Below are 9,342 nucleotides of genomic sequence, written 5' to 3'. Positions count from 1 at the left end.
GGGGCCTTACCTGCTATGATTCCATGCAGTGCTTTGTCCCCCAGGCATGCCTACTATGAGGATTTACACATAAGTGCTCAAAACATCTTAGTTAAATGAATGAATGAATGAATGGATATGAGGTAATTTATAAGAAAGTGCTGTAAAATTGACAAAGTATAGTAGAATTTTAAGAGGTTAGTACTAATAGTAATAATTAATAAGTAATAATGGGCGACACCACTGAGTCTTTGATTCTGGCTCAGCTTTGGAGAGCTGCTCTGCAAGAAATGTTTGAGTCTTTGTCTTTTTTATCCAAAAATTCAATTGAGAGAGACACTGTCTACAGAACAACAACATCTATTGATCAGTGGAAAATGTTTCATTCATCCAGTTTTGCTCAGTAAAAATTCCCATTCATCCTTCAAATACTTTTTACTATATCGCTTTCATGATACCTATGTCAATTAAATTAGTCTTGGCCACATTTAATAGAGACCCCCACTCTTCTCAGCACAAGTGGCTCTTCTTTGTCTCCTGTATCAGCAGTGCAGAGTTCAGCTGGCCACAGCTAATGTGGTGTCACCACAGTCATTAATGCAAGGTGATACAAGCTTCAACACCCTGCACTGGTTTTAGCCCCTGATGGCTGTTAAGACTCCAGGAATCATGACTTTAGGAACTGGAAATAGAAAGTAACGGATAAAAAGTGAGCTTCTCCAGCTGAATCAGTCTCCTTTAAAGAGCTTGTCCTATTCAATGAATTTCACCTACTCTATGTGCAAGGAGAGGATAGGAATTGTCTTTTAGCAGGATACATTGCTGAATAAATACAACTGGGGTCTATTACTAAGGCGAACAATTAGAAAGGATATTAGCCAAATAGCCAGCGGTGTTTGCCATTGACCTCTTCACTTTTCCTTTCATCTTCATCTTGTAAGTCATGGTTTGTTATCCATTGGCAACTCCTTGAAGGTTCTGTAACCTGCATAATTTTCTCCTCTTTTCCTTTGCGTATGTTTAGCTATTTCACAAATCCACTACCTACTCTCTGTTGTCATTCCATCTTTCTCATGTTTGGCTTACTTAATAATCTTGTAGCTCTCTACATATTTTATTTTTATTCAATTCTAAACTGCTTATACTATCTACCGTTTTCTCTAAATCTATCCAAATCTTGCTCTTTGACCCTACAGTGATTGACTTTATACATTTTCCCACATTTAATCCAGAGGCTTTCAGGGTCTTTGATCCTTTGTGATCTAAGAAAGATTAGCTTGTGATATGTCTGCTATTTGCTTCAAAATAATCCAGTGTTGGAGACAGAGAAAAGTCAGTGGTGTACAAATGAAACAATATTAATCCTGTGTTGAAATTTTTGAAACTGAGTGATGGCTAGGTGGGGCTTCATTATATCATTAATTCTGATCTTGTGTGTTCTTTACATTTTAAATAATAAAAAGTAAAGAAAGACATGATTGGCTTGAATCTTTGTTTTGCAATCTGCTGAAGTATAAAGTCCTCCCTAAAATTTGTTCAAAAAACTCCAAGAGGATTACTTTGTCTTTGTCACTTCTACTTCGGGGATCTTTCACATTAATGCCACTCTTCCAGACATTTTTCCATACATGACTCTCAGCTATTCAGCAAATTACTTACATACACACACACATACACAATACTTTCACACAAAGTAATTTAAATAAAGTAGTCTTTATTAAGACCTATTGACCATATTTAGTGCTCACATCACATGTTACCTAGCAATATAGAAGACTTCTTCATTCTTTTAGCTATGTGTGGCCTTTTGATTTAATTCTCTCCATGAGATGTAAGCAGAAGTTTGGTACAGTCTTTTTCTCCCTCTGCACCTTCCCTTTATTACTGCTGATTAGAATACAGACCCGAATTCCAGAGCTTGACCAGCCATCACAGACCATGGAGCAATACCATTTGATGGTAGAGCATCAACATAGAAGGGACCTGGGTCCCAGAAAATCACAGGAAGACCTTAGCAGCCCCGGACTGTCAGTCTTTGATTTTCCTTATAAACACAAGGAAAATAAACATCTATATCATTTAAGCTACCGACATTATTATGTTGTTGTTTTTTTCTATTACATGCAGCCAGACTTAATCCGACTTGATATACTTACTAAGGATTTTTCTTTTTTCTAAACAAATGCAATTCTGAAACCAGGAGAAATTCTACTGCCAGATATTAATAATTTATTTTTGTCATTAACTCATTTCACCTCATTCCTGTATCCATTCTCAGATCCAGTCATAGACCTCTTTTCTCCTTGATTTGCTATCATCCAAATGAGTATAATAAAAATCTGTTGCGGAAGTGAAATCTGAGTGGCTTAAATATTTCATTAAAATGATATGTTGACTGTTGCAGTTATCAATTGTAGCTAAAAATCACTCCAAAACTTAGTAGCTGCAAACAACAATGATTTATTTTTTGTCACAATTCCATGGGTTTGCTAGGAGCAGCTCAGTAGGTCTTTTGTTCCCCATAGTGTAGCTGAGATCACTCTGGTAACTACATCCAGCTGGGAGATCTATTGTGGCTGGAATGTCCAAGATGTCCAAGATGGTCTCATTGTGTAGACCTCCCTCTATCTGGCCTCTCATTATCCTGTTGTCCAGCCTGAGCTTCTGTGCAACATAGTGGCTCGCTTCCAAAAGAAACAAGCTGTAACGTGCAAACACTTATTAAGTATCTCAATGCATTATTCTGGCTAACTTTCATTTAGCGAAAGAAAGTAGCATGGCTAAGCCCAGTGTTAATATAGGATATAAATTCACAAGACTGTGACTATCAATAAGTGTGGCTCACTTGGGCACATCATTGTCTTAATCGCTGACTTGCTAAGTCAAAAATACAGCACATGATTTGTGATGGCTGAATGTTTGTTTCTCCCTGCCACCCCAAAGTCACAATGTTGAAGCTCTAACTCCCAGAGTGACGGTATTTAGAGGTGGAGCCATTGGAAGATAATTAGGTTTAGATGAGGTTATCAGAGGGTAGTGCCCTCATGATGGGTTTAGTGCTATTATAAGAGGAAAAGACAAGAGAGTTCTTTTTTCTCTCTCTCTTTCCATTTGCATCCACTGAGAAAAGGCCATGTGAGCACACAGCAATATGGTGGCTGTCTGCAAGCCAGGAAGAGTGCCCTCTCCCAAAGCCTAATCTGCCAGTACCTTGATCTTGGACTTCCCAGCCTCCAGAACCATGAGAAATAAATATCTGTTGTTTAAGCCACCTGGTCTATGGTATTCTATTATAGCAGCCTGAGCAGATTAAGGCACTATCTGAACTGCATTTTTGCTCCATCTCCTCCTCATGTTCCCCAGCAGTCAATGCATAAAGAAGCAATTTTATTTAGCTGGGGAGTATTCTTTCAAATAAAGAATGTCATTTAAAGATGGAATCTCATTTTTTTCACATTTTTGTCATATACACTTTTCTATTTCAGGTTTCATTTTTGTTACTAGCTAGCATATTCCCATAGTTGAGTTAAAAGCAGATAGTGGTCTAAAAAGAGGAAAAATATTCATCAGTTTTATTACAGATAAAACAAATAGAGTTTCTCTGAGGTAAACCTGCCCACTTCCTGTTACTCACAGAAATAGAAAATGGCTGATATAGAATAATAATATTCGTTGTAATATTTATTGATGTAGACACTGGGGTGCATGCTTTACTAGGATTATCTAATTTAATCCTCATACAAATGAAAAGGTGTTTTTAATATCCTAATGTTACAGATAGGGAAATTGAGGCACAAGAAGTTTTAGCAATTTATCCAGAGTCATGGATTTAGTAAGTGGTATGTTGAATCAGTATTTGAATTAGTATTTGAAACTAGTTCTAACTAGCTAGTTAGAATCAGTATTTGAAACGAGTTAGTAAGCCTTCACAGTGGGAGAATGAGATTATGGCTGGGGCTGCATAGTTTGGAACCTGATTATTCTCTATTTTACATATTTAAGCTTTGCCTCTTCAATTATTTCCAATTAGAAAAAAATCAAAGCAACGTTTTCTGCAGCTTTCTTACATGTAACCATGAGTGTGATTTGAAATTTTTAAAACACTCTACATGTTCAGTCTGTAAGAACTGCCTTACCTTTGTTGTATCCTCCACAGCACAAGGAAGCATCCTTGTGGCATACAGTGGTTGCACATGTTGTGACTGGATGCTTTGTCCACTGAAGCTAGGCTGGAACAGGACTGTCACTGGAGGGTGGTGGGAAGGAGGCTGTGTCCACCTCATGTCAGTTAAATCTTCAGGTATGACTCTGCCTCCCTGAGAGTTGAAATCCATTCTTCTTGCAATGAATGCAGGAGATGTATAAAGATACTCTGGTTGCTAGTTGAGTTTTTGTGGAATCATCACCTCATTTCAGCACCACTAGAGAAGCCTGAAGGGTACACATGAGGCACCTTTAGCATTTATAATAACATCTATTTCAGTTTATATCACCATGCTAAGGATGCAATAGACTCAAATCAATTGTTTTATGTAGTTAATGGAGTCCAAAATGCATTGTAATGTAATTTATTTTGCAGAAATATCACAAAATAGTTCACAGGTAATTATGTTTGATGTGGAAAAACACAAACTCTGAATGTGAAAATGTGTTCTGTAGGTTGCATTTAGAAAAGTGGTGGGCAGGGCTCAGATGGTTTGTAAAGACTAGGGAAATCAAAATTTTATAAATAGGGATCTATTGTTTTATTAAATGAGCCCTGGGGAACATTTTTAAAGGGTTCAAAAGTGAGAGGGGATTCCTGTAGGTAATTAGATTCCTGCTGTCTTTGGCCTAAAACCTAACTAAATATACTTAATTAAATCACATATATGGGCCGGGCGCGGTGGCTCACACCTGTAATCCCAGCACTTTGGGAGGCCGAGGCGGGCGGATCACGAGGTCAGGAGATCGAGACCATGCCGGCTAAAACGGTGAAACCCCGTCTCTACTAAAAATACAAAAAATTAGCCGGGCGTAGTGGCGGGCGCCTGTAGTCCCAGCTACTTGGGAGGCTGAGGCAGGAGAATGGCGTGAACCCGGGAGGCGGAGCTTACAGTGAGCCGAGATCCCGCCACTGCACTCCAGCCTGGGCGACAGAGCGAGACTCCGTCTCAAAAAAAAAAAAAAAAAAAAAAAAAAAATCACATATATGAATTACATTAACATTTAATATTTATTTAACTGTTGTATAAAATTTTGGTTGCCTGTGCAAAGCGACATGCACTAAATTATAGCCCTTCCCCTTCTCTGTCGTGTCCTGTTGGTATTCTTTCTTGTGCTCCCTGCCCAAGCCACAGTGGCATCCTTGCTGTCCCTCAAATACATGAGGCCCACTCGTAATTTAAGAGTTTTTTTCTGGCCGGGCGTGGTGGCTCACGCCTGTAATCCCAGCAATTTGGGAGGCTGAGGCCAGTGGATCACAAGGTCAGGAGATTGAGACCATCCTGGCCAACATGGTGAAACCCCATCTCTACTAAAATACAAAAAAATTAGCTGGGCATGGTGGCGCACACCTGTAGTCCCAGCTACTTGGGAGGCTGAGGCAGGGGAATCGTTTGAACCCAGGAGGCGGAGGTTGCAGTGAGCCAAGATTGCGCCACTGCACTCCAGCCTGGTGACAGAGCAAGACTCCGTCTAAAAAAAGAGTTTTTTCCTTGCTGATCCCAGTTCCTGGAACATCCTTCCCCAGCTATATGCATGGCTAACTCTCTTACCTCTCTCAAATATTTGCTCTAATGTCACCTTCTCTATAAGGCACTATTTAAAATTGCACCCCATCATCATTCTCAGGGTTCCCTATATTTCGCATCTGCTTTTCCATTTGTATAACAAAATCACCTTCTAATATGCAACATAAATTACTGTCACCTTAATTGTTATCTCCATCTCTGCCCTCTTCAACTAGAAACTTATAAGGGCCTGAAATCTTTTTTTCTGTTTTGTTAACTGATGTATCTCAAAAGCCTATTACATTGCCTAGTACTTAGAAGACACTCAATACATATTTGTTGAATAAATTAATACAGCTGTCAATTGTGCAACATCTTAAATAATTCTTCAATGACTACATTGATGTTCAGCTTTTGCATTGTTATGTAGTTACAAGAGAGCGTCATGTCTAATGAGAAGTGAATAGTGAGTTGTATTAAAAAAAATAGAGGAAGAGTCTGCACCGAAAGAAAATATTATTCTGAGCTAATATACGTAGGAAACGTATGCTTAATGCCACAGGTCTAGTTTGAGATCTCCGAATAGTCCTAAAACTTGTCAGAGTTGGGCAAGGAATTGGGCTAGGAATGAGCAGTATGACAGAATAAATTTTTATTTTCTTCCCTTTAAATTTAACTCCTATTTCAAAATCCCAACTTATTATTATTCAGAGGAATTTTTTAAAATATGGATCTACTAAGAATTGTAGGTTTTAAAGTTTTAGTTGGCAATAATTTTCCTCATTCTGAGACACAATTTTTTTCCAACAGACCTCTCATATTAAAAAACTTCAGGTGATTACTGCAAACCAAAATGCTGCCATGAGAATGAGAATGATTTCTGGAGCTATTTCCAGCTTTAAAATAAATAGCTATTGAGATTGATTGACAATGTCTGCAGTGCGCACAGGAGGTGGGAATATGACACTGATGCTTGTATTTACCACCCTGGGGCTAAATAAGCTCTAAGGTCCCTTTAAGTTGTCTCATTCTTTGTAAAATACAAAGTATTAAAGTATTAGCAGAAATTCTAGGTCAGGGAAATTTGAAGTGAATATATTAAGAATCTTAACTGGTTGGAAGTTAAGCATTGTAAATTAAGCATCACTGAAGACAAAATTTATATCAGAACTTCCATGTTAATATATGGGCTTACTTGCTGTGGCTATATCTCCTCCTGCCTCATTAAAATACATCCGAAAAGTGATCAAAAGTCAGGAGGGATGTGGGTGCATGCATGTGTGCATTCCTTATCTACTTGTTTATTATCTGTTTCTCCAACTTGGCTGTATGTTCCATGATGACAGGAACAATGTCTGATTTTTTTCATGGCTGCCTAACATGTAATAAGAAATCATAAAATATATTTTGAATGTGTGAGTTGAAATAAAGCTGGTGCCTTTGCAGCATGATCCTAAAGAGAATATATAACGTTTTGTTGGGAAATTATTGCAAGAAAATTATAATTTTGATTATTTGTTCCTTCTAAGAATACTAATAAAGTGACAGTGATAACAAATATTTTATTTACAGACCAAATACCTATTTTCATAATAATTTGTTACATTTTCCAGTTTTTTTTTTTACTGAAATGTGTCATCCATACATTGTACTTTGCCCTATCTGAACTATGTACAGCAGAATTTTTGTTTCAGATTAAATAACTTCATTTTAATTAAATGCACATTTCTAAGCAATTACCTTAAAAAATAAGATATATGTTTAAATATTTGACAAATTTAAGGACAACTTACAGTAAAACAAAAAATAAAATTTCTAGTTGACAAGGATAGAATAAAAACAAAGCAAATAAAACAAAGCCTACAAGGCAAAATACAGAAATCCAAAGTAGCTGGGAAACAAAAAAATAAAATGTTAACAAAAATATAGAATTAAGGTTAAATATATTGACTGTGACATTTATGTGTGAGTTAAAATTCCTATTAGCAAAAAAGAAAGAAAGAAAGATGTGTAAACAGAGGTCACAATAATATCAAAAAGGAACTCAAGGGGGGAAAACATTAAATGGCTGAGTGGGCAATTCTGTTGATAAAATCTATAATGGAAAGATAACAGTAATACATTTTCACACACACAAAACATAGCAACACAATGTTAGAAATAATTTGACACAAAAACAACAAGGAAGGGGAAAGGGTGAATAGGTAGAATAAAGAGGGTTCTTAGGGCAGTTAAAATATTCTGTATAATACTATAATGATGGATACGTTTGTCTACACCTATAGAATGTACAATGTCAAGAGTGAAACCTAAGATAAACTATGGATTTTAGAGGATTACGATGTGTCAGTGTTCATCAACTATATGAATATACCCTCTGGGGAGGGATGTTAATAATGGGAAAGGCATGCATTTGTGGGGGAACGGGACATAGAGGATATCACTGGACTTTCCTCTCAATTCTGCTGTGAACTTAAAACTGTCCTTTTTAAAAGAAGTCAGAGATATTTAAAGAAGGCAACCCAAGCAGGAAAAAGGAGTGAATTGTGTGCAAACTGAAAAAAAAAAATAGAGTGAATAGATAGAGATTTGTAAGAATTTTTTTCATGGACACCTCTGGGAAACATAATTATTTTAAAAAATCAATTTATAAAAATAAAGTAAATATAAAAACCTGTATGGAAGATATATTTTTTTTATTATACTTTTAAGTTTTAGGGTACATGTGTACATTGTGCAGGTTAGTTACATATGTATACATGTGCCATGCTGGTGTGCTGCACCCATTAAATCGTCATTTAGCATTAGGTATATCTCCCGATGCTATCCCTCCCCCCTCCCACCACCGCACAACAGTCCCCAGAGTGTGATATCCCCCTTCCTATGTCCATGTGATCTCATTGTTCAGTTCCCACCTATGAGTGAGAATATTCGGTGTTTGGTTTTTTGTTCTTGCGATAGTTTACTGAGAATGATGATTTCCAGTTTCATCCATGTCCCTACAAAGGACATGAACTCATCATTTTTTATGGCTGCAGAGTATTCCATGGTGTATATGTGCCACATTTTCTTAATCCAGTCTATCATTGTTGGACATTTGGGTTGGTTCCAAGTCTTTGCTATTGTGAATAATGCCACAATAAACATACGGGTGAATGTGTCTTTATAGCAGCATGATTTATAGTCCTTTGGGTATATACCCAGTAATGGGATGGCTGGGTCAAATGGTATTTCCAGTTCTAGATCCCTGAGGAATCGCCACACTGACTTCCACAATGGTTGAACTAGTTTACAGTCCCACCAACAGTGTAAAAGTGTTCCTATTTCTCCACATCCTCTCCAGCACCTGTTGTTTCCTGACATTTTAATGATTGCCATTCTAACTGGTGTGAGATGGTATCTCATTGTGGTTTTGATTTGCATTTCTCTGATGGCCAGTGATGATGAGCATTTTTTCATGTGTTTTTTGGCTGCATAAATGTCTTCTTTTGAGAAGTGTCTGTTCATGTCCTTCGCCCACTTTTTGATGGGGTTGTTTGTTTTTTTCTTGTAAATTTGTTTGAGTTCATTGTAGGTTGTGGATATTAGCCCTTTGTCAGATGAGTAGGTTGCGAAAATTTTCTCCCATTTTGTAGGTTGCCTGTTCACTCTG

At 37.2% G+C, this 9,342-nt stretch overlaps 1 long non-coding RNA gene across 1 annotated transcript; it reads right to left on the bottom strand.

Moving 5' to 3' along the window:
• LOC107984733 (uncharacterized) lies at positions 2,424–4,410 on the bottom strand. The gene is made up of 2 exons (XR_001751737.2): positions 4,116–4,410; positions 2,424–2,680 (listed from the first exon to the last, which is right to left on the bottom strand). It is a non-coding gene; the product is annotated as an uncharacterized LOC107984733 (long non-coding RNA).
• Between the last annotated feature and the right edge of the window lie 4,932 nt (positions 4,411–9,342).

The sequence above is a fragment of the Homo sapiens genome, chromosome 15, assembly GCF_000001405.40.
Source record: "Homo sapiens chromosome 15, GRCh38.p14 Primary Assembly".
Taxonomy (NCBI): domain Eukaryota; kingdom Metazoa; phylum Chordata; class Mammalia; order Primates; family Hominidae; genus Homo; species Homo sapiens.
This window is presented reverse-complemented; position numbering and strand designations above follow the sequence as displayed.